The sequence below is a fragment of the Homo sapiens genome, chromosome 18, assembly GCF_000001405.40.
Source record: "Homo sapiens chromosome 18, GRCh38.p14 Primary Assembly".
Classification (NCBI taxonomy): domain Eukaryota; kingdom Metazoa; phylum Chordata; class Mammalia; order Primates; family Hominidae; genus Homo; species Homo sapiens.
Genome location: NC_000018.10, coordinates 32,741,244 through 32,768,438, shown reverse-complemented (window position 1 = coordinate 32,768,438; position 27,195 = coordinate 32,741,244). Strand labels below are relative to the sequence as shown.

Below are 27,195 nucleotides of genomic sequence, written 5' to 3'. Positions count from 1 at the left end.
TAAATGGTGTGTGTGTGTGTGTGTGTGTGTGTGTGTGTGTGTGTGTGTCATTATGTTTCCACCAGACCTAGGTAACTAAAGTTTAAAGAAATGGAAGATACTCTCTACACTTTTTTAGGCAGCTCTTGTGTTAAGGAGAGGCCAACAGGAGGCATGAGAAATCTTGAACTTGTAACAAAACCCTGTAAGTTCATTTTTCTAACATCTGTGGGAGATGAGTTAACGAATCGTGTTGTCAAAAGATGATAATAGGACAATAGAAGAAACAAGAATCCAAATCCCCGTGTGCTTTTAACAGTGAGCACAAGAGGCCAATGAGGAAAAAAACATGAAACGTATTTTTATTTTATTGGAATTTTTCGTTTGTCTAAAGATCCAAATGGCAAACTCAGTGTGATGGGCGATGGGCCTTGGTGATTAATATTCTGTGATTTAAATTTTTGTCACTTTTAAATGACCTACAAGTATACTTCATTTAGCATATATCACACATAGTCAATAATTCAGACAACACAGTTATAGTTCTGAACATACATTTACTCATACTTTTAAAAATATGTATAACACGGTATAAATTCAGAAACCCAGAGGAATAATAAAATTAAGATTTAACTTATTCTAAGAGTAATTTTGGCAGAGGAGCTTTATAAATTTGATCCAGTAAATTTCTGAAGCCCTCAATGCACTTTTATCTAACAGGTATGTCCTAAGGTTCAATGTTAGAAGAGTTGACTTTCAAAATGCAAAATCCATTTCCCACTTTAGTCAAGATTCAGCACACCAGCTAGTGCCTGCTGGCTCTGTCCTGGTGGATGGCTGAGATACCAGGCTGCCTGGCTCCGTGACGACACCCTCCAGCTTCACTGGGCCACATCATTTGAAGGATATGTAGTGGTGTCTGACCACTGAATGCTTACAAGTGTCATGGATGCTGCAAGAATCTGATACTTCTGCAGTAGGAAGAAAACTGTATTTTCTTTTAAAAGAGAAAGATATAGAAAAGCAAATAGTTCATGCGAACCTATCATTGACCTCAAAGTAATATAATTTAGGTTTTATTCCTTTATTAGTAAAGGTAGCATTTTGAATTTTACAGACTAATTACATTATTTTAATTGTAATTCATAGGAAGAATGCCAAAATAACCATGAAGTTCCTAACTTTAAAGTAGACAGAAATGCTGTAAGTTGCAACCAACAATATTAAATCAGCCCATTTATTATAGCATCAGTGTAATATAAAAATGTTCCCTTAGCCTTATGTGTCATTTAACGGGGATAAATGTGTTAACCAATTGTTTTTGAGATTACATCACTTTCATTGAAGACAATTGAATAGAAGGACCTTGTATTTATTACTTTTTATCCACCTGTAGTTTTTAAACTCTAAATATAAAAGAGTTTCTTAAATTCAGAGAAGGAGATGAAAATGTAAAATTGACCAGTCTTTTGGAATAAGTACAAAGTATAAGCAAATAGAATAACTTCAAAAGAGAATTTACTTGTTTAAGAGTATATTATCTATAGAAAGTAGAGATATTAATATAATCATAATTTAAGCATTTTAAAGATTATTAATTTTGAGTTTTCATTAAGCCTAGAAAAGTAAAGGAACCCAAGTATGAAATCTTTATACAAATACTCAAATTAATATAAAATGTTCCCTCTTGTTGCTTGGTTTTTCTAAGTATACCAGTTGCACTTAAATTCATATTCCATTTTACCAAACTTAACATAAGGACAATAAGTAAAATAAGAAACTTGTCACTCTGTATTCAAATACACACATAAGTAATTTAAGATGACAGGATTGACAAAGGATATAAAGTTTCAGTTAGACGGGAAGAATAAGTTTTAGTGATCTATTGCACCAGCAACGTGACCACAGTTAGTAAAAAAGTATTACATATTTCAAAATTGCCAAAATAGTAGATTTGAAACATTCTCAACACAAAGAAATGATAAAGAGGTGAGGTGATGGATAGATTAAATCAGCTTGATTTAATCTTTCTACAAGTCAATATTAACATCATCTAAAGCATGAAAATTTAGTTTCATAAAGCGACATGATATGCAGTGTTTAGTATATTAAATGTAAATAACAGAAGACATAGTCTAAATTTAGCTTAAGTAACCCAAATAGTTTCTTTTTATTTACAGTTTGAAATTTTAATGTATAATTTAGCAATTATCCCAAATAAATCAAATTGGATTAGATATTAATTAACTGGATAAAATTAACTAATGTTTTACATTTTCATTGCACCTCACACAATATAACGAATAAATGCTTATTAAAAGTTGAATGAATTAAGATTATGAAAAAAGAAAGGCTCAATGTTGTACTTCATCAATACATTAATCTACATTACTATTGCACATAACAAAAGTTTACTGAACCTTCTCCAAGAAAACACCTGTAATAGAAATACATTCATGAAAGTAATCATATTTTTTAAACATTTAACAACTAGCTATTACGTCCCATGTAGGGTTCCATATCGAAGTGTAGTTTTAAAGAAATTATATTTTATAAACAACAGGAGACTACCTAAGATTTCATTTACTACAAAACATAGTCTATTTATAGATTTCTCATAAATTAATGTAAAAATCTATTTAAACATCAAGGGTACTAATTATCTATCTGCTAAAATGACTTGCAATAATTAAAATGCCATTACATTTCCTAATATACAGTTTTGATTCCTGGTTTTGGTGCTTAGAAAGTGTTTCATTAAATGTAGGACAATATTTTCTGTTGGTTCTCTTTCTAAGAACTGAGTAATAACCTTAACAAAGCAAACTAAACTTGTATCCATGCATTCTCTAAATTGTTACTTCCCTTTATATCAATTTGATACCCTCAGATTAAAAATTGTTAGGTAGTTAAATTTTGTATCAGAAATTATTCAACCATTCAGAATACAATTTGTTTATTATCTGAAACAGGACCATTGATTACAAAATTACATCAACCGATATGGGAGTCAAATAGTTACATCCTACAATCAGAAGGCAATTAAAAAGGATACTAATGCCTTGTATTGAAATAGAGGACTTACTGTTAAAAGTGGACATTTTCCAGTTTTAATTCATGCTTGTATTTTTACCATTTTTATGAACATGAGGTTCACTCATTACCTTAGCTAATTCTAAGCATCCCAATTTTCTTAACTTAAAAAACAGTAAAAAATGTGTTACCTTATTTACAACTGCTACTGCGTAACAGGTGATGTTGACGCACTTCACATACATTACTTAATTGAATTCTCATAACAGCCCAAGGTATGGGTACTATCATTAGCCTCATATAGATAAAAAACTGATGCACAGAGCAGTTAAGCATTGCTCCATGATTGCACAGCTGAACCCAGGCAGTGTGGCAAGTCTGTGTTGTCATTCACAGTGTGCTGTTTTTTACTATCACTCCCCAAATGCTAGCCAGGCTGAAATCTACTAATTGACTGAAGAGTTATATGTAGACTTAAGACTTTTCTTTTAAAAAGAAACTTGTGAGGGTTAAATAGTAATGTATCTGACTTAAAAAAAAAATTAGGAGAGTTGTTTTTCCAGGCCAGGGGTCAGCAATTTTTTTCTATAAAAAGCAACACAGTGTTTATTTTTGGCTTTGGGGTCACAAGGTCTCTGTTGCAACTACACTACTCTTCACCTGTAGTGCAAAAACGCAACTGACAGTACATAAATGAATGGGCATTGCTGTGTTACAGTAAAACTGCATTTGTGGGCACTGAAATTTCCTGTAATTTTCACATCATGAAATATTATTCTTTTAATTTTTTCAACCACTTACAAACATAAAAGACACTCTTAGTTTTCAGGCTATACAAAAATATAAAAATAGAACATGGACTGGATTTATACTGTGAGCCACGGTTTGCCAACCCATGTACTAGGCTAGGCACTTGGGATATATCAGTGAAGAAAATGGACAAAAACAATTTGCCCTTATTCTAGTGGAAAAAATCCCCATTAGTCTTCATCCTTCCATTTGGAAAGAACTCAAGTCTAAATAATTCTACCGTGCTAAGTTAGAAGTTAATTTATCCAGAATATGACTTAAGGATTTGAATAGTGATCCTCGGAAGCTAAATAGTGATTAATTAAAACAATGGATGAGTTTCTCATTTTTTCAAGCATACTGGATATAAAACCTCCTAATGTAGAATGGTCATCATTATTCAGAAGAGGCTTAAATATTGTTTATATGATATTTTAATCATTTCGAGTAGGAAATCAAAATAGGCGAGTATATTTAACACACTATTTTTCTGAGGTTAACGGGCACATATTCAGCAAACTAATCTAGGCAAACTAATCTAAACTAAATGAACATGTGAACAATTATTTTTCTAAGTGTCAATCTGTATCTCCAGCTGCTTTGATCAAAGGGCATGTCAGGATTCCTGACTTATGAGTGGATCAACTGGATTGAGTATAGATCCTGCCTGCCTTCTGCAAAGTGAACAACCTCTGGAGAAATACTTACCCCATTGTAGGTTTGTCTTATGTGTCTGTCTCAGACCCCAATAGACGGTGACTTCTCTGAATATGTGTAACCAAAGCACTTAACTCAGTGCCTGACCTTGATCCAAAAATGTGAGTTCGTTGTAAATTGCTATTGGTCTTAAATATAATTGAGATAGACACTTAAGGTTGGTGCAGTATAGTGTGAATCAAAAAAGCTAATGTGCAATAAAAATATAGGTAATTTTAAAGATGATTACACACACGCAAACATACACACAACCTGTTGTTGGCCAATAATAATAGTAGCTATCACTGTCTGAGCAACTACCACAAGCTTGACTTATCACTTACAGTGTTTCTAATCTTTACAGCACCCTTTAAGCCTTTTTAAAGATGAGAAAACTGGGACTCAGAGAAGATAAGTAATTTACCCAATTATCTGAATAGTGTTGAGTCAGAGGTCCTTATCACCAGGGAAATAACCCTGCCATTATGAGTATATATTGGAGATGTGGCATTTACAAAAGACAAACTCTTATCTACACCTTCCACTTCTGTTTTATCACACCACAAAAGTCATTAAAAGTTCCTGCCATCTAACTCTTCTTCAGGCCACTCAACCAATGAAGAACGAGGGGAAGACATTAGAAAGCCAGAATTCTATCCTTCTGGTCTACAGCACTTAATTATTAGTTCTGAATTAAGGGGCTAAATAATAAGTTGCTGAGATTTGGCACTATAATATTGACTTACTAAAAATAGAATGAGCCAATGCACTTTAAATAAAGAAAAGAAAGAAAAATAAGAAATTTCTGTTTAACTATGAAAAAAAAAAAAAAACCTTGAAGCTTGAATTTGAACCAAAAGTTGGTTTCCCTGGATTTCTGTGCACTGAAGTACTAAAGGGGTGTCAGATTTGTTTTTGTGACAGTAAAACACTATTCATGTTGGGGATACTTTCAGGTGATTAAATAACCAGGTAGAAGTTGGAATTATAAAAATACCTGTATATTTTAATAACAAAATAAGACCTCTCTAACTGAAAATTTATTCTGTTTATATTTTGTTTCAAGAAAATCAATTTAACAATTGTTAGATCATAAATGTTTGTCTTCTCTCATTCACTTAGAATTCAGAAAACATGTTCATTTTCCATGTCCTTTCCATTGATTTCCAAGATAATTCACAATACAGGCATTACTAATGATGATTTCTTTAAATTAAAACAAAAAAACACTATTTTGATATGGGTAGGAGGATCACTTAACCAGAGAAAGGCTATCTGTTGTAGTACAGATGATACAATGAGTGTGTTCATTTTACTGTAAATAGCAGAGAGGTTTATCTCTTCACAAATAATATTAATGCAAATAGGATTAGAACTATTTGCAACACTAGAAGTAAAGCAGAAAGGTATTATGGAATGCCTACCGTAAAAAGAGAAAATAAATTATAGGGTAATGAGAAAAAGAAGAAAAAACAAGAAGTAAGAAAAATGCAAGGAAATAAGGGGTATCAAACAAGTTATTAAGAATGTGAACTATCTGAAAAAGGAAGAAAAAGAAGATGGGCAAGAAATTTCTAAAGACTGGAAATTAGGTGTTCAACATTTACAAATCAAGATAAGAACAAATCAAGAAACACTTAAATCATGGCATACCCAACCTTATATAATTTAGAGTTATAGACAGAATTTCATTAAAAAGAAAAAAAAAGTCAGTCCTCAAAAGAAAGAAAATATTTTCACAAGAAAAAAATGTCAATCATGGTACCTTACCGCCTATAATACCATTCGGTTCAATAACTATGTATATGTAATCTGAGTTAATAAGATTTTTTGTTGTTTTTTTTTTAAATCCATTGTTGTGCTAGGTAATGCAGTAGTTTCAGAAGTCTCGGAGTTCAAAGGGGACAACCCATTCTGTGAATATAAGGAGATAAACATATAACTGCATTCATTGCAAAATCATCTTAATTCCCATGTAATTTGACCTGGCAAAAGACCTGAGAAGCAAGGAGAACTTCAGGACCTCTGACAGCTTTCTAAATGCAGGCCCATGACTGTGTCACACTGATAGTGGAAACTTGGAGTGATGCATTGCAATTTACTACTAATCAGAAGTTGTGCTATGGAATAACCCCCACATTTGTATTGAACGTATATGGTACATCAAGCTCTGAGCTAAGTTCTGAGATACAGAGTTGAACAAGACAGCCACATTTCTGACTGCATGCAATTTACAGTAAAAAGAGAAAGAGTAAATAGTAACACAAAATAATCACACTGGCAATACATAACCTACAAGAGAAAAGTGGCATGGGCTGGGACACCCTATAACAGACAGCTGTAACCTTATCCGAGTGACTGGAGAAGACTTTCTCTGCAACAAAGGTATAAGATGAGCCTTGAAAGATGAGCCATTCTAAGTAATAGGCCTGGGGAGAAGGCAAAATATGCAATTGGAGAGGCAAAGCTGAGAGAAGACCACCTGCAAAACTCCTGGGCAGAAAAGAGCTTGGCACCTTCCAGGAACTTAAAAAAAAAAAAAAAAAAAGGATGTGTGGCTACATTTGTGGCAAGAGGGGTTGTCCAAATCATACAGGAAGTTGTAGGCCCTGCTAAGGATTATTTACTGCATAGATACATTTTAAAATGGAAAAATCAGCATGTTTTTCAGTTGAACTGAAAAAAGAAGTAATACTATTGTGGAAACACTGCTGCCTTTGAAATCATAAACCTAAATGAGTGGCCTGGCTCCACGTTAGCCGAGTCCTGCAGCAGTAAAATGGGTTAATAATTATAGTTCTAAATACTTAGCAGCATTTGTAGAAAGATCAGCTGAGATTGTAGAAAAACTAAACATAAAATGCTGTTTTAAGTTTGTATATTATTAATTTTAAAAGACATATTTAGCAAAATTTACCTGAATGCACTTTTGCCTATCAAAAAATCACTAGGACATATTCATGATATCACTGATAGCACAGAAATAGTCAGAGACTGTTAACACCAGAGGAATGAAGTTGGAGGGAACCAAAGGTGAAACCAAGGGCATCAGAAGGAAGTGGGAACATTAGAATTTTCGACAGCTCTCAGCAATTTATATTTCATTCTTCAAAAGGAAAATGATGGCCGGTTGAGTTATAAATGTCTTTCATTTTTTCCTTTCATAGAAGAGAGTTCCTCTTCTTTTTAATCTCATAAACTTAAGCTTAGAGGCTTTCTTTTCTGCTGCTCCCAAAGCCTTTCACATGCATATGTCTGGCTTCTTTGCTCCCAGAGCGCCTGTGAGGGGTTGGTAAATTGCACCTGCGCGGGGACTCTGAACTTCCTCAGAGCTCAGCTGGGCCACCGTATGGAGACTGGCTCACTGGAGGCTGCAGAGAAGTGAACTGAAGAATTACAGTCGGTTTCACTTCCCTGCCTTATGTGCCTTCAGGTGCCTCTGAAGACAGGCGAGGCCAGTGAAATGGAGAGGAGGAAGAAGAGAGAAAGCAGCAATATCTGAGAAAAGTCCTTGAAAATGTAGAGGCATTGTTGAAAAATATGGAAAGATGGATGTGCATGTTTGTGTGTGTGTGTATATGTGTGTGTGTGTGTGTGTGTGTATGTCTGTGTGTACACAGTCCAATCACATATTGTTGGGTGCTACCTTCAAATTTTCTATAGAGTGATTTCTGAGATGTGTTTTTTTATCAGATAAAGTCTATTTTGAATGTCAGGGTCAGGGTGGGATGGTCCACAATTCACAATCTGGTGCTGAGTGAGGAATTATTAGGCTGGAGGGTCAATTTGTCACCAGAAAGAAAATAGTCATATTTGTAAATACTTCTTAGAACAAAAACAACAGAGGGCTGTTTGGCTCTGATTTTGAGCACCCCTCAAAACCAACCACATCAGAGCATCCTGTGCAAAGCGATGGGATTAAAAAAGGGAATGTAAACCTGTGAGTCAGAGAGGGAAACTTTGAAGAAAACACTTTAATGCTATCAGGTGTACACTAGGCCCTCACCACTTTCTATTTCATATGCATTAACAGGAGTTCACTGATACAGTGAGAGATCCCAGTCAGTATGGGTGTATTACAGAGGCAGAAGTGTGTGCCCAGTAGCACAGATGAATTTGGTGGATTGGTTACTATAGCAACTGTACCACCATTGTCAGTGGCAATTCCTGTAATCTCCCTCTCCTAAGGTTTCATAAGCATTCACTCCAAAATGACGAGAGAGAGAGAGAGAGAGAGAGAGAGAAGGTTATAATGCAGATATCTTAAAACAGCTGTATTGTGTAGTAATTAAGACCTGAAAGTTAGACAAATGCTAGTTTAAATCTCACCTCTACCACTTACAAGCTGCTTCTCCTTGGGTAATTTACTTAACCAATTTTCAGACGCCTTACCCATAAAATGTACATCATAATACCCACTTCATTAGGGCAATTCTAAATGTTAAAATAATGTGTGTACATCATCACTTAGTATAGTGCCTGGCTATACATATTCAATGATTGATAGCTTGGATTTTTATAGGAATAGTTCCATTTATATATATATTTGCCTTTCTGTTCACTTGTTAGGACTTCCACTTCCATACAAAATGTTTAGAGTTGGATTTCCACAACGTGAGTATTGACACTATTCTGATAATGATTATGCTTCTGCTGAAGCATTATCCATTTTAGCCATCATGTTAAGTGGATGTTCATTTTATCCACCTTTGAGTGATATATAGATCCCAAGCCAATCCTGGAATTTTATTCCATCCTTTTGATCTATTCATGCCATCAGAAAATTTAGAAAACCCATGGTAGATTCACATTGAGCAGCTTTATTGAGATGTAATTAATATACTATACCATTCACCCACTTAAAGAATATAATTCAATGGTTTTCAGTATATTCACAGAGTTGTGTGGCCATCACCACAATTTTAGAACATTTTAATCATTCCCTCCCCCAAAAACCCATATCTGTTAGCAATCACCAATCATTCCCTCACCACCACCATCATCCGCCCGACTTTCAGCCCTAGGTAACCACTAATCTACTTTCTGTCACCGGAGATTTGCCTATTCTGGACATTTCATATAAATAGAATCATGCAATATGTGGGTTTTTTTGAATGGCTTCTTTCATGTAGTGTATTTGCAAGGTTCATCTATGTTGTCACAGGTAATAGTAATTCATTTATTTTTATGGCTGAATAATATTCCATTGTACAGATAAACTACATTTTGTTGTTTATCCATGGACGTGTGGGTTGTTTCCACTCTTTGCTATTATGAATAATGCTGCCCTGAGCATTCCTATACAAGTTTTTTGTATGGACATATGTTTTCATTTCTCTTGGGTATGCATATACCTATGAGTGGGAATGCTGCCTCATATATTAATTCAGTTAACATTAAACAAATATTTAACCTTTTGAGGAACTGCCAGATGGCTTTTCAAAGCAGCTGCACCATTTTACATTCACACCAGCAGTTTATGACAGTTCCAATTGCTCCACATCTTCACCAATACTCATCTGTCTTTTTCATTATAACCATCTTAATAGACGTGAAGTAGTATCTCATGGTGGTTTGCATTCCCCTAATGGCTAATCATGTTGAGCATCTTTTCATGTGCTTATTGGCCACTTGCATATCTATTTTGAAAAATGTCTCTGGGCCTGGTGGTGCATGCTTATAGTTCCAGATACTCAGAGGCTGAGGCAGGAAAACTGCTTGAACCCAGGAGTTTGAGGCTGCAGTGAGCTGTGATCGGTCCACTGCACTCCAGCCTGGGCAATAGAGCGAGACACCATCTCTAAAAACAAACAAACAAAAAAAAACAACAAAAAGATACAAAAGAGAGAGAGAGAGAGATGTCTATTCAAATTCTTTGGCCATTTTATTTTTAGTTGTGCTATGTGTCTGTTTATGATTAAGTTATAAATATCCTGTAAGCATCATAGGGCTTCTTATGGTACCTAGATCACAGCTGAGGCCACCTTCTGCAGGAACATGTTATACTATTTGCAAAATGAAAAGAAAATGCATGCAGATGTACAGTGCAAAATTCTCTAGATGCTTTTATATGACACTTATGACTATTATTAAAAATCTTGGTATTTGGTGTGGCAGAGAAAAATATCTGTGATTGATTTTGGTATTGTTTGTTTTCATGTGATCATTTTAGCTTTGTTGACTTGGGCATCATATTTCTTAAATGATATTCTGGACTTGGATAAGCAAATCTTTCATTTCAAGGAAAATATTTTCATTACTCGACTTATTTACTTAAATTTTCTTAAAGACACATAAGAAATATTTTTTTCAAGCAATGTTAATACAATAATTATTTTAGGAAATAAGGTGAAATTGTTTTGACTTCCAAGACATGATAACTGATAAGAAGCACTATAGAAGAAGAAGTACTGCATGTCAAAAGAAAACAAAACAAAAAACAGCAGCTCTCAGTTTAAAACGTTCCTTGTGGGGATCAGCAGGAAACAGCAAAGCACGGGATTTTCAGTCATGGCTGAGATTCAATGGAGGGCTTCACCACACATATCACCAAGTGGATTCCGACACGGAAAAGCTAAATTTATCATGAGAATAACTTATCCAGTTTCATCTTTCCTTTGCTACAGTCTCCTGGCAGTTTTCCTTAAGGACAAAAACTGCTGCTACTGCTGCTCTTGAAGAGAAATTACTTTTACTACTCTTAGTAAGTTGGGTACTGTTACTTCATTGTCGCTTCTAGTGTGTGGATATGGAAGATTGGCCAACAAATTGTTTCTTGGGCTTAATGTTTATGCTGCTGGGTAGAACAATTTCTATTTTGATTATGTATCTTCATGAACAATCAAATTCTTGCTTTCTCTGAAAAGATTTACATCTTTGATACATAAGAAAGAAGACTGAGCCACTATGACAGCTCTGAGTGCAAGATGGTAGGGATCATAGTGTGGGTTTCTTTATATTTCAGGGAGACAAGGTATTATCAAAAGTATGTGATAATTTCACAGGTTGTAGAATGCATTTTCAACAAATCCCAAGAATGCAGAAAACCTCTAGAAATTAGTCACATGTTTTTGTCTTTAGAAGATATCTTCTTCCCTTGGCAGAACTTCTAGTCATGTAGAGAAGGTATCTAATTCTAGACAGTCACTTCAGAACACCTAGAATCCTGACAAACTTCAATTGGCATTGTTGTATTCAAAATTGAAAAGAGAAAATAGACATGCAATGCAAAACTGAAATATTTAAACACCACCCTTAAGGCACTTAAATAAATTCAAGATTTGGGATTTTTCCAGGGTTAAGGAGCAGCAAATGAAACCAACAGCAAGTAGTCTAGGTAAAAATCTATCCCAGGAAAAGGGACACCTCTTGTGCAGGAAAGAGCCCCTCAAGCCTTCCATCAGTTTAATCAAACTGACAGTCCAACTTCCAGGAAAACAGTCATTCTTTTGACCTATTAAGAGAAGGAATAATCTCACCTTAGAAAGGTTTTTTTTGAAAGTGTTTCACATTTGCATGTGTGTGTGTGTGTGTGTGTGAAGGAAACTCTAAACCCTAAAGTCTCCAAGTGGCTTAACAAAAATTTATTGTCTCCAATTTCTGGTGGTTGGAAGTTCAAGACCAAGGTGCCAGCAGGGTTGATTTCTGCGGAGCCTCTCTTCCTGGTTTGTAGACAGCTGCCTTCCTGCTGTATGCCCACATGGCCTTTTCTCTGTGCTTACATGCAGAGGAAGATCTGGTGTTTCTTCCTCTTCTTATAAGGACATCAGTCATATTGGATCAGGGCCTCACCCTTATGACCTCATTTAACCTTAATTACCTCCTTAAAAGCTCTATCTCCAAATGTAGTCACTTTGGGGGTTAGGGCTTCAACACATGAATTTGGAGGGAACACAGTTTGGTCCGTAACAAAGCCACGTTTAAGACACAAAATTAGAAAACAGGGAAATTAACTGAAATATTGCTTTTCAACTAGATCCATACAAGCAAAGTTATCTAGGCAGCTGAACAGTTATCCAAGTCAGCAGTGTATAAATAGCTCTTCCAGTAATGTAAAGCTAGTAGAGAAAAAAAAATTCAGATCCTTTTTCCTCAATTCCAGAAGATCTTGCCTAGACCAGTAGCTTTTTCAAGAATCAAACATAGAGCTTTTTAACAAAATATATCTTCCCTAGCTCCACCCCAGAGATTCTAAATAAATTGATCTGAAAGGAGGTCCCAAGAACCTGCATGTTTAGCAAGCATCATAGGTAGTTCTGCTACCAGTAGATTTTGGACCACATTTTGAAAATCATGGAACTAAACAAATAATTGCTTCTGTTTTTTGAATTTGCTACATGTCTATAAAAGATAGGAGAAAATACTGATAGTGATTTCTTAAAAAATGGGGAAAAATTTTTGCAAAATTAAAAGAAATTTCATTAATTGATATGAGAAAAAGGGAAATGAGTCATAGGGAAAGTTGCTGGAATTACCAAATTCTAGGGGATTTATTTCCTAGAGATGAAATTCGGGTCCCTAGCGCACTACAGAATTTGCACTAGAGAATAATTCAAGCCACACAGTATAGCATCCACAATTCAGCTTCAGAGAATATGGTAAACTTTTCAGAATAATTTGTTGCTGCATGTCAAAGATCTGATAATGAAAAGAATATTGCTCCAGATTAGCTGATTGGGTGGGTCTTAGAGGCTTCTGTGAATGCCCTTTCCAGTGGGGGATGACCTTGGAGGGCTTCCTAGACACCACGGAGCCCTCCACCTAGGGTTCATTGTGGCACCATGGTCCCTCGAGGGTTGGTGATACAGCAAAGAACAGAAAGAACTGGCTCCCTACAAGGAGGGAGAGGAAAAGCAGAGGAAGATAAGAGATTCCATTTCACCCACAGCAGCAGGGTGTCCCTAAGCAGGATTCCACAAGCCACACCTCATTGTCTCCTCAGCACACACACCCGCCAGGGCCTGCCTCCCTCCCTTGCTGCAGATCTACACAAAAATAAGGATAACCTTCTTCTTTTATCTTTGCCCCAGGATGATTTCATAGCATTTTTCTTACCCTAAAAATAAACGTTGAGTCCTTTTAGAAGGAATCCACTGAAACTCCCTTCTTGAAAATGGACACTTATTTGTTGCCATGAATATTCCGGGAGAAGCCTGGAGAAATCTATCCTGTTACTAACTTTTCTCAGTATCTCCCTGCATGGCCACTCCTGCAGTGACTCTCCAACTGGAAACAGCCTGGTTGGCAGGAGGCTGGCTCCAGTTCCTCCGAAAGAGCCTCACAGTTTCCCCACAGGGAACCTCTCCCTGGAGTTAGAGTAAAGAATGAAATTGGACTTTGGATCGGGAGGCTGTTGTCCCTCTCAGCATCATCTTGAATGGCTGAACTCCTTTCTTCAGAATGTCAGGTTGCTGTCAAAATATTCATTTCTACCATTATGTCTCACTCTCTCAGAGATATAATTTTAGTGGAAAGATGTTGCATCCTTCTGAACTTGAATTTTCATTATTATTTTGTGACCTTGGTGTCTTTCTGCACTTTTTCTTCTGCAGCAGGTGCCAAAGTTTCCTTAGGTCAAAAAGTCACTCTTATCTCTTCCAAAAGCCAGCCAGATGGGAGGGAGAAAGAAAAAGACAGGACGAAGTCTCAGTAATGAGACTGGCTCTCAGGAGGCAGCATAGTCTAATAATTGGGCTTTATTAGGAGTTTAAATGCAGGCATTACTTACGAGTCCATCACTAGCCTGAGAGTGATGCTTTATCTCCTTTCGTCACTAGGCTATACAGAGCTTGAATGGCTCCACTGTGGCAGGCTGCACAGAACCACATCTCTCTTGAACAAAGAGAAGAGCTTTCTCCTGTCACACACATGTTGGTTGTCCCCACCAGCTTGCTCAGTAGCAAGCATCTGTGCTAGAGAGCAGCAGGACCCTGCATCCCACTTGCAGGCAGGAGGATTAGTCTGAGAGCTAATGCTTGCCACGCAACTTCCTCACAGGGATGTGGGGAGGATTAATGAGATGCTATTTCCATTGCAATTTATGCTCTTCAGAAGAAAGGTGCTAAGTAGGAGGTATTAGAATTAGGGATTATACAGGTAATCAAGCAAAGAAGATATTCAACTGCTCCTAGTTACCAAAGGAAGCTTTAATCTGGGAGGTGGAGAAGGAGGGGGAAATGCAGTGAGTATAAACTTGGCTGGAAGCCATTGTCCCTCATGAAGCAAAGGGCCAAGGATGAAGTGTCAAGTGCTATGTATAATATAAAGATAAACTCGTCCTGATCCTTGGGGCTTATGAGCTAAGCCTTGGGTGGTGGGGGTGGGCTACATTTCATGGATTCAGATAAAGGTCTTAAGACTTTTTTGTTATATCTGCCCCTGCCATCACCAGCCAGTCTGCAAGTTTGGTGCCTAGAGGAATGTGGCAAAAGCATAAGCCAACTACCGTAACTGCATGCTAGAGGACACAGTAACATTCTGGAAGAATTGTGGAGGACCCATGTGAGCCACAGGGGCGGGATGAGAAGTGAAGGGGCGGGATGAGAAGTGAAGGGGTGGGAAGATGGCTAATCAAAATTGCAATGTGTAAAGCAACAGCCAACAAAGTTGTTGATCTTCACATGGTCACACAGACAGGAAGTGGCAGAGTTGGAATGTAACAGGTTTTCAGAGCTTCAGATATTAAAGTCCTGATTTCTTCCATTTCTTATAGTGCGTCCCCAAGTAGGATTTATCTGCCACTGGTAGAATGTGAGACAATTTCAGATGGTACACAAGAAATCATTTTAACATTTATAATAAGTTAGGTATTGTTATATTTTAACGTGTGTTAGAGATAAAATAATTAACCCATGAAGCCCATGATTTAGTAAATATAATTGCTTAGAACCATGGTTCTCAATACCCGTTGCATCTTATTAATAGAATCACTGAGAAAGCTTAAAAGACACACACACACACACACACACACACACACACACACACACAAATATGATGCTGGGTCCCATCCCAGATCATTGAATCAGAATCCCTGAGAAGTTCTGATAGCTTATAAAAGTTCCCACATTGGAGGCGGAGCTTGCAGTGAGCCGAGATCCCGCCACTGCACTCCAGCCTGGGCGACAGAGCGAGACTCCGTCTCAAAAAAAAAAAAAAAAAAAAAAAGTTCCCACATTGGGAACCACTACAATAGCCTGGGATTTTTAAGGAAGCATTTTTTTAAGTGAGCAGTTTTAAATAAAATATTTAGTGAATAATTTCAAAGCATGTGGCTATGGCAAAAATAATGAAAGTCTTCTGTTGTACTGATAACTGAAGTTTGGTAAACATTGTGCTTTATCATGGTAGGCTCCTATTCTATAAGACAACACTAGACCTAAAGAACAAAGATAAGCAGAGACATCCAAAGAAAAATGATGAACGTGATAACGTAACAAGAGAAAGACTCATTATTTGGACATGCTCAGACAGGGATAAAAGGTGGAGGGTCTAGGGCAGTACATAGTAAAAATAGCAGCTTAGATTTGGGAGTTGGTTGATATGAATGTCCTTTTCCCAATATATGGCTCTCTGAGTCTTCCACCCTGTGGTTCAGAAATACGCTTTTTCCTTTTTCCCCATTGCCTTTTGACACCTCCACCCCACTGACTGAACCTTGAAACAAGTAAGGGAAAAAAAAGAATATAAAGAATCTATAACATCCTCCTAGATAGTGGGATTTTGTAATCCCACTGATCCTTGGGGCTTATGGGGCTTTTAGTCTGCCCACCTATTCCTTCTTTGTTGTTGGTGTTTGTTTGTTTTGTTTTGTTTTTTTGAGATGGAGTCTCACTCTGTTGCCCAGCCTGGAGTGCAGTGACGTGTCCTCAGCTCACAGCAACCTCCACCTCCCAAGTTCAAGTGATTCTCCCGCCTCAGCCTCCTGAGTAGCTGGGATTACAGGCACACGCCACAACCCCCAGCTAATTTTTGTATTTTTAGTAGAGATGGGGTTTCACCATGTTGGCCAGGCTGATCTCAAGCTGCTGACCTCAAGTGATCTGCCCACCTTGGCCTTCCAAAGGGCTGGGATTACAGGCATGAGACACTACGTTGGACTCTATTCCTTCTTTTATTCGTCATATCTTCATTTATACAACAAACATTTATTGAGCACCTACTATGTAGTAAGTTCTTCTTGCTTTTAAGTATAGTCAGAAGTTTTTTCAGTGAGCATGTATTATCTTTATGATATAATCAAACAAATCTTAAAGTTACTTCCATCTTAGGAAAACTAAATAATAGGCACGTGACTGACCGTTCTTCAGTCACCACATAGCCAGACTCTGTGTGTGAGGAAGAGGAGGAGCCCAAAGTCAGACTCTGGGAAGTAAGGCATTTTCAGCCACACCTGAGAGCCACAGAAGAGTTGTGTGAGAAAACCCTGGAGATGTTTCTTGTGTGAAATGGAGGAAAATAAAACCCATCCTGCACACTGGAAAAGCTGCCTAAGCCCCTTTTCCTCTAGTCTTTCATCTGTTAAATGGGGATAATGATACTTTGTGTTTACCTACCTCCCAGAGGCATTATCAGGTCTATTTAAAGGCTCTTCCGATGAAAGCTGCTGTGTAATTACCAAGAACAGCTATGATAAAGACACCTAAATACAACAGCAAATCAGCTGGAACAAACTCTCAAAGGAGTTTACTTCGCTGGAAAATTTTAAGAGAAGGGTAGCAGCTCTCCTTAGGGCAGTTTTGGGTACCATTCTGGCTGGAAGTTTAGGGAAGGCTAGCTGCCTTTCAAAGCCTCCTTCTGGCCAGGCCAATTACTTGGAGTAGAGGGATCTACCTCTGTTACTTCCTCCCCACGATCTGAGCAGCTTCCATATGAAATTCCCCTTTCACATTTTTCCAGATCTGGACTCACAAGCTCTTTTATCCCCCAAATGAAATTCCAGGAAGACATTTACTAATAGGAGAAAAAAAGAGAGAAAGGAAAGAGAGGTTATAATAAGATAGGTAATTGGGAATTCAATGGTTTTTAAGAAGAGGACTGATGTAATTGGTTATTAATGTTTGGCTTTGCTAAAATTCATTTGACAAAATATGTAGTGTTGATGGGGATGGGGGTCAGAAAGCAGGGCTACCACTTTACAACAGCACAAGGGAGAACCAACCCAGCTGAATCCAGCTGATGGCCGCTCAGCTGGAATGAAGAGAAAGATTTAAGAAATATTACAGCTCTAGAAACTATAGAATATAGCAAGAAAATGGAAGAGTCAAGGATACCATGAAATTCGGTGACTTGAATATTGTAAGATTTGGTGACTACCCTAACAGAGGCAGCTGGCAGCGAAGAGAAGTAAGTAGATTATATTTTATGAATGAGATCTGAGTCAATACCATTGTAGGAAGTCCAGTGATTTTATATTTTTGTTAAACTTGCTTATGCAATCAAAGTTCTGGCTATTTATATACAGTGTAACATATGGTATCTGCAAGGCTTCTAAGCAATAAAAACTCCAAAATTCCAAAGATGAATTTTCAAATGAGTACTTTGTAAAGTTAATAATTACACATAATAATAATCGCTATCACTTATCAATTTTGAACTATATAAATATTTTATTCCTATGTAACCCAGATTTCAGCTGGAGGCATAACAGATCTGGTAAAGAAATTGCTATGAACCCCTATAATCCTCTGGCCTGTGGAAAACCAAAACTATTTTGCTATGGTCTAAATGTTTGGGTCCACCCCTTAAAAATTCATACCTTGAAACCCTAATCACCAGTAAGATAGTATTTGGATATGGGACCTTTGGGAGGTAATTAGGTCATGATGGTGGAACCCTCATGATGGAATTAGCGGCTTTATAAGAAGAGAGAGGAGAGCACACACGTGTGCTCTCCTCTCTCTCTCTCTCATTGCCCCCCTCACCATATGAGAACAGAAATGGGAAGTGGGCCCTCACTAGGAACAGAATCTACCAGCACTCTGATCTTCCACTTTTCAGCCTCCAAAACTATGAGAAATAATTTTCTGTTGTTCAAGCCACGCAGTCTATGGTATTTTTGTTATCGCAGCCTGAACTGACTCACACATCCATCCTCATGTCTGTGAGTCCCTGGAACTTGTGTTTTCCTGGCCTTTTCTACCTGCCAAATCACTCCCATACATTGCTGCTGTACCACCAGATGTGAAAATGCCCATTTACTGCTTTTATGCAATACTAAGCTATCATAAGTTTAGTAAAGTCCACTGAAATTGGGAGGACATGGGAAAGAGTCAAAACTTCTTTCCATTTTCCACAGCCCCTTCCTCCTGGATTATGTTGAAAGTATCAATATTTTCCCCCTTCAGTATGCAGAGACATTCATCTTTCAAGGTGTCAGCAGCACAAAGGGCCTTTCATTTGCTGGAGGGACTGGCTCTACAGAGTGGCTTTGGTTACAAGTAGAAGGCATTTATTTTGCTATTACACCTAAATGACTTTATTTAACCCTTACAACATTCTTGTAAGAGGATACCATTATTCCCACTTTACAGATGAAGCAACTGAGGCTTAGAGTCAGCCCAAGGAGTTAAACATAAGAAAAGGTAGAGGATTTAAATCCAGGTCTGATGACTCTTAACTTGTAATTAACCTGGCTTCGGAAAGATGGGGTAATGATTATCTACTCTGGATCGCTTTGCTACTTCAAAACTGCTTGTTGTTATTGTCGTTGTTTTCAATCAAATCTCCATGTTTCAAAAAATGGTCATACACTCCCAAAGACCCTATGTAGAGAAAGTAAAAATCCCAATGATTTAGTATCATTTCAGGAAGAATGAGTTAGCATAATTAAAATATCAAAACAATTGAAGTACAACTCTTTATTATCTTTAAGTAATAAAACTTGGATGAGGGCATAGGCCACCTGCTTGTCAAACCTGCAAATTACATAAAGGAACAGATAATATTGATGATAATGAGGATGAGGATAATGATGATGTCAATAACTATGAAGTTGTTGATGATGGTGGTGGTAATGATAATTAGCATTTATTTAGCACTGTTTTAAATGCTTTACATATATTATATCTTTTAATTCTGAAAATTAAAGATGCCTGCGCCTTAGGTCTTGTTAGTGTTATCCCTATTTTATAAATAAGGTTAAAGAGAGGCAAAGAGGCCAGGCCCAGTGGCTCACGCCTGTAATCCTAACACTTTGGGAGACCGAGGTCGGGGGATCACTTGAGGTCAGGAGGCAGAGACCAGCGTGGTCAACATGGTGAAACACTGTCTCTACTAAAAAAAAAAAAAAAAAGCCTGGTGCGGTGGCTCACGCCTGTAATCCCAGCACTTTGGGAGGCCGAGGCGGGTGGATCACCAGGCCAGGAGATGGAGACGGTGAAACCCAGTCTCTACTAAATATACAAAAAATTAGCCAGGCGTGATGGCGGGCGCCTGTAGTCCCAGCTACTCGGGAGGCTGAGGCAGGAGAATGGCGTGAACCCGGGAGGCGGAGCTTGCAGTGAGCAGAGATGGCGCCACTGCGCTCCAGCCTCGGTGACAGAGCGATACTCCATCTCAAAAAAAAAAAATTAAAAAATACAAAATACAAAATACAAAAATACAAAATACAAAAATTAGCCGGAAATTGCTTGAACCCGGGAGGCAGAGGTTGCAATGAGCCGAGATCACGCCACTGCACTCCAGAAGCCTGGGCAACTGAGCAAAACTCCATCTCAAAAAAATAAAATAAATAAAAATAAGAGTGACAAAAAGGCCAGCCTACGTTCACTTAGAACAGCTGAAACCAGGCATCTCACCTTAGCTAAGAGGTCTACACCCTTAACAACTAGGCTACTCTGCCTCAAAGATTCTGATGGCTTCCATAGATGTCCCCACTAGGGTGGAATTAAGTACCGCAATGAACAAGGAATTTATTCCTCTTGTTCCCATTATTATCTCCAATCCTTAGAACACCACCTGGAACATAGTAGGAACTCAGTTAACAATTGCTAACTGTAAACGAATTGAAGCAAAGTGTCTAAATCAGTAGAGGACAAAAAATGTTAAAAAATAGTCACGCATAGCTGTTTAAAATATTTTAATTAGAAGAAATATAGGATAGGAAAAACTTGGCTTGAAAACACTTGTTTTTTTAAAAAAAGATTGATATTGATAATCAGTAGAAGCTGAACAGGGACCCAGCACTGCACTGTGACTGCTAAAACACTACTGTGATTTTAGAAAGCCTTAAAAGAAAACTAGTATTTCAGTTTTCTTTGGTCCATGGCCTGTTAGGAACTGGGCCGTACAGCAGGAGGTGAGTGGTGGGCAAGCGAGTGAAGCTTCGTTTGTATTTACAGCTGCTCTCTATCACTTGCATTACCACCTGAGCTCTGCCTCCTGTCAGATTAGTGGCAGTATCAGATTCTCATATGAGCGCAAACCCTACGTGAATTGCACATGTGAGGGAAGTAGCTTGTGTGCTCCTTATGAGAATCTAATACCTGATGATGTGTCACTGTCTCCCATCACCCCCAGATGGGACTGTCTAGTTGCAGGAAAACAAGCTCAGGGCTCCCACTGATTCTACATTATGATGAGTTGTATAATTGTTTTATTATATATTACAATGTAATAATAGAAATATAATAATAGAAATAAAGTGCACAATAAATGTACTGCATTTGAATCATCCTGAAACCATCCCTCTGGTCCATGGAAAAACTGTCTTCCATGAAACCGGACCCTGGTACCAAAAAGGTTGAGGACCACTGCTCTAGAAAACCTAGGTAGGTTTTTCAGCTCAGCTTAAGAGGAAAAAATATATCTAACACAACTGTACAACAACTTTTAACAACAGAGTGTATCTGAAAACCTAAGATTCATTTCAAATTTCCAAATAGATAATAATAATTACTTGTTTAAAAAACTATCAGAAGGATTTCTATATTATGTAGGGGACTAGACCAAGTCAGTGTCCTCAAGTCTGGCTGTGTATTAGCATCAACTGGAAGGCTGTGAAACAGCATTGATTTTTTAAGACTCATCCTATTGAATCATAATCTCTGAGAGTCGAGAACTGAAAATCTATACTAAGAATCCAAAATTTCTAATGCCTTCAGTTGATCCTGGTAACTTGCTAGGGCCTGGGAATTACGGAACTAGATTACCTCAAAGTTTTCTTCTAACTCTATGAGTTAATGATTCTTAGAACATTGCAGAATATCTTCTTTCATAAATGAGAAATATTTGTTATCTGTAAAATGAATTTTGCCTAAATGTGCATTGGTGATTATAAAGTGCCAGCATATCAGCTGATTTCTAAATAGGTTAAAAGTTTTTTTGCAATCTAGTTCATGAAAACTTTTCTCATGTATCATGGAAAGGAAAACTTTATCTGGCCTGTTTCCCAATTATTGAAGTTCCAAATCACTGAAATATAAATAAATGAGATTTTACAGTACTTAGAACACCAGTATGATGAAAAATTTGTTTACACCAGGAGGTTTAGGTCATCCTTCAATCATTCATCCTGGGAACCAAAGTATGTATGCACGCCAGCACTCACGCATACAGGCGCGCACACACGCCCAAATGTGACACATGGTAAATGTTGGGCAGTTACTGAGATGGAACAAAGGAGACCTTCAGATTCCATCGCCTTTGCAACCTTACATTTTTCTATGCAAGAATCAAGGAACTCAGATCAAAGACATTCAAATATTATTAACCACGATATACTCAGCTTTTTGTTTACATTTCTTTTATTCCTTGTCTTTCAATACGTACTTTGGTCTGGGTTGGGTAAAATGGGTAAAATGAAGAGTGAAAGGAGTATTTGAAAATAATAAAAGGTATGAAGAGAATATATTAATTTGGGCTAAATTGGTTCCCTATGTTAAGAGCTTCTAAAAAGTATACTATGTTGCCATGAGAAGAAGCTCTAGAGATTGCAATGAGGCTACATTTATAAATTTTGACTAATCTAAAATTAAACCTGTAAAGCTCTGCTGGAATTATTTGAAAAAGAATAATTAAAACCCCCTTCAGCACAGTTAGTTCAGCTTCTCTTAATTTTACTTTTCTAGTTCACAGGTATCTTTGTTTGTGGTGTTTTCAAATTGAAGTTCACACACATCAAATAAATAGTATGATAATCAGAAGTTCAGTATTCAATATGCATTCATTATTAACTGTCGTTATTGTCATTGTCACTATTATAATTGCACATTGTAAAAAGAATGGAAGCTTTTCCACAGGAATTATTCACGTGTATTGCTTTCTAGGAGTAATTGAATAGTTGACATTGCATTTATATCAAAGTAAAATATGTGATGGTTATTCTCATTTGTATTATTCTTAAGCAATAAGAAATGTAAAGTAATCTCTATTAGGTTTCTTTATTCGGATTCAGAAATCTTCATAGTTTTCTGTAATGTCCAAATGTGTACCTTCTTATAACAGCTATGGGAACTTTCTCTCCTCTCTGTAAAATGGAGAGTTATACCTACCACGTTGAGCTGTTTTGAGAGTCAATGGAGAAAATAGTGAGAAAACCACTCAAATGTGTTTTGTTACTTGATGTGTTCTTTCCTCTGTATGATCCAACTTCTTACATGTTTTATCCTATTTTGGGTTTCAATTTGGTTCATCTTCACAAAGTAGAGCTTCAAGTTTTATTTAGAATTAAATAATATTGATACTGGCTTGGAAAACTGAATAACACAAGATTTAGAGAAAAAATACTCTAAGTAAAATGTCATGACAAATTGAATGAATGATGATGTAAATACAACAATGCAAAAGATTTGGAAGGCATCTTGATTCACTAAGAAAGCCATACATCATGGCTTCAAAGCACTGCCCCTTTGTAGAAAACACACAGCCATTGAGGGTAAGTAGGATTTCCTTTTCCTCCACATAATTCTTTATTACAGTCTCTGCAGAGGCCTGAGTCGCTTAGAGATTTACCTTAGTTGTGTGGAATCTTTCATTGCTCTTTGCTAGCTAGCCCTTGAATCATGTCACTGTTGGCAGGGGTGGAGGGTGTTACCGTTTGCCCACTGTTCACTGGCTTTTGTATTGGTAGTCAGTCCACTTCTTAGAGGACAGATGGCAATGGCTGGCAATTTGGGCAAGAGAACAAAGACACTAGATCCTCTCCTTATCAGCAGAGATGGTCCATCTAAATCAGGGTGGAGAATCACCAGTGTAACTTGTCTAGGGAAGTTCCTCTTATCAATGAATGAAATGACCTTACAAACATGTGTGAGCCATGCATTCATCTCCCTTTGCCATCCATTAAACACATTTTTTTTTTGAGATGGAGTTTTGTTCTTGTTGCCCAGGCTGGAATGCAATGGCGTGATCTCAGCTCACTGCAACCTCTGCCGCCTGAGTTCAAGTGATTCTCCTGCCTCAGCCTCCCAAGTAGCTGGGATTACAAGCATGTGCCACCACACCTAGCTAATTTTTTTTTTTTTTTTTGACATGGAGTTTCGCTCTTTTTGTCCAGGCTGGAGTGCAATGACACAATCTCAGCCCACTGCAACCTCTGCCTCCTGGGTTCAAGAGATTCTCTTGTTTCAGCCTCCCAAGTAGCTGGGATTACAGGTGCCTGCCACCATACCTGGCTAATTTTTTGTATTTTTAGTAGAGACGGGGGTTTCATCATGTTGGTCAGGCTGGTCTCGAACTTCTGACCTCAGGTGATCCACCTGCTTTGGCCTCCCAAAGTGCTGGGATTACAGGCATGAGCCACCACGCCGGGCCCCATTAAATACATGTTTTAAGCAGTTAATTTGTTTATATACTAAAATATATTTAATTATGTTGCTTTTGTCACAACCGCCACTTCCATGAGTTCTTTCCTCTGTGTCTATCCTGTTGATACTGATCTACCCCCAACTGCAGTCTGGCGGCATGTGGACGAGTGATGTTAGGACAGTCACAGAATCGTGACTTCCAGTTGAACAGGTCTGTCTACACATGGTCATTTGCAGCAACCTAAAAAGAGTATTTGTTTTCATCTTGACTTCTCTTACACACACAGAGTGGTTATTTGGGCTAAAAACTACAATAAGAAAAAAATGGTCATATATCAGCTCTGTGGCCATGCATCTAGGAGATTATATAGCATGTGAATTATGTATGTATGTTTTCCAAGTGAAAGAAAGGTACAGACTGCACTGATTTTTCTTAACCCCTCTTGCAAAAACACCCCAATCACTGAAATCCTCCAAGTATGGGGGCTCTTTGCTGTTGTATTCTATTTGCCAACTACTAGTCTATAAAGCATATGGGTACTGTTTGAAGGTACTTCAAATTCAGAGTTTGGGTTTGTTTGTTTTCCTTTTGGCTCAACTATATCCACAGAGTGGCAAAATTAACACTGCAAGCTGCCATCACATTACTCATTCCTCTGTAAGTACAGCTCCCTCTATCTATGAGTGTCTACTATGGACAATTCTCCAGAAGGTATTTTTCCCACTGAGGCATAATAATGCATTCAATGGCACCAGAGTTTCATCAAAGGAATTCTCTTGTTCCCTTCCTTCCACATGGAGATGTCATTAACTGTATTAAGTTAACTCTCCGAATGTTAGGTTCTTAACCAACAAACAATGCTTCTCCACAAGGGCATACTTCGCCAAGCATTCTTGAATCAGAACGAGCTGAATATGTAATCATAGATTCAGAGCCACGCCGTGGGCTTGTGATCATCACTAAGAGGAATCCTTTTGTATTTATTGACTTTTTTCCTTCAATCATTGTTGTTCCGTTTCTTCCACCATCACCTTGAGCCTTTCAGGTACATGAAAAGTTCAATTACATGTAAAGCGACTGTTAAATCAGCAGGCCCTTTGTAGGGGTCTGGGCCTCCTCTCCCTGCTTCAATCGCAAGTGTGCTCAATCCATTACTGTTCCTGAGGATTGTACATCCATCAGGTCGAGTGTGCTGGCCAGGGTGCATCTTACAGCTTTTACTGCATATGAGACATTGCAGGCCTTTCTCAGGAACTGCCAGGCGGACTGGGAATCACAGTCACGGTTAATAGCAGCGAATTGCCAGCTCTTGATGGGTGGGTAGTCACTCCTTTCAGTGGTTGCCCCCTGGGGGAGAAGGTAGAAAAACAGAGGGAGGGAATTAGAGTGACTTTGCACAGTTGAGCAGGTTCATGCCGCTGGATCAGTGGCAAGCATTGGCAGGGCTCCACTCTGGGGAGGCTCACAACAACATCACAGTCTCATTTTTACCAATTGGTGCTGCTATATCGCCAGTGGTGCACAGGGGGAGAGCAGAGGGGAGGGTGAGCTGGGAGTGGGGGAAGGGGAAGAAGGCAGAAGTCTAAGCTAAATTAAACAAACAAAAAAATTCATGTTCAAACTGGTTAACCCACCCCAGTTAGCCCTGTGCTACTAATTGTACCAAACTCGTATTTGAAGTTCCCTGGGTGATTAAAGAGTTGGCTCACAAACTCCCTGCATAACCTTAATTTTTTCAAGGTTCTTTGAGTGGAGAATGGCTTATAATAATGATTTTGACTAATACGATTTTTGACATGCAACTTTAATGCTTAACCTTAGTACAACTCCAGAGCATTTCATGTGTACTCAGCTGTAAAGAGTGATGATTTAAAGGGATAATATAAGAAAAAGGTCGTTCTAGAATGAACCTCTAACAAATTGCATAAAGGGAGCTTATTATTCTATGAGTATGGGGATGTGCAGCTCTTCTGATCATTTTTCTGCTTGGTTCAAAAAAATTGTTGAGACATGAATGGGGGAAGAAACAGGAAAAAATGAAACAGATATCTGCAAGCAAGGAACATTCTTTGATGGTTATGATTTCGTTGCCACTAAAAAGACTCTACAGTAATGTGGTTATTCATCTCCTCTTTTGTTTTGGGTGAAGAATTCGCTCTAACAAGAAAATGCTGTTATTGGTTGGAGGGCTGCCTCCTGGACCGGACCGGCTCCCCAGCAATTTGGTTCAGTATTACGACGATGAAAAGAAGACATGGAAAATACTCACAAGTGAGTGCATTATTTATTTATTTATTCACTCACCTATTTATTTCAGGTTAGCGCTGTCTTGATGAATTTGAAAACATGGTTAATCAAATTAGACATTTTATTGATTTGTTCCCCTTTGGAGGTTTGTTTATGTATCACCGGGGATTTAGAGTAAAAAACTAAATTAACATTGCAGAGGTGGCCAATTTGGTAGTCGAGTAGGCCTAGCCTAAAATCACTGTACTGGTTTACGTTTCTGTATGTGCTGCAATGGAGGGTGTGGGGGAGGAGCAAAGATCTTCCCCCCAAAATTCTTCTGTTCTTTTTGTTGTTGTTCATTGAAAAGCAAAAGGTTGGTTTATGGCGTTCGCTAGTAAATTTTCTCACATCAAAATGGTTGTTTAGTTCACTGTCTCTGTAACTAACATTCATGTTGCTTTTTAGGCATTTTTGCTCATTAATATTTAGTCTGTGGAACTGGGTCTTTAGAGAAATGTCCCCTTATACTGCTGCATAGTTTGAATGGACAGATATATTTGTGGCCTATTCCAGCTGCATGAAATTGTGCTTGCAAACTTCTACCCAGGATTCTTCTCCTCCCCTTCCTAAAGGGCGATTGTGTTTTACAGCAAACCTCTTGCCTTGGGCACTGAGATTTGGAACTTATTGTTATATCGGTTATGATTCCCAATCGGACTCACTCAT

The 27,195-nt window shown here is 37.8% G+C and overlaps 1 protein-coding gene across 2 annotated transcripts in view; it reads left to right on the top strand.

Moving 5' to 3' along the window:
- The window catches only part of KLHL14 (kelch like family member 14), a 100,351-nt gene that overhangs the window by 4,585 nt on the left and 68,571 nt on the right, over positions 1-27,195 (top strand). For both annotated transcript variants that reach the window (NM_020805.3, XM_047437684.1), the window contains exon 3: positions 26,390-26,511. In NM_020805.3, coding sequence (NP_065856.1) covers positions 26,390-26,511 — 122 coding nt within the window. The remainder of the gene's footprint in view (positions 1-26,389; positions 26,512-27,195) is intronic.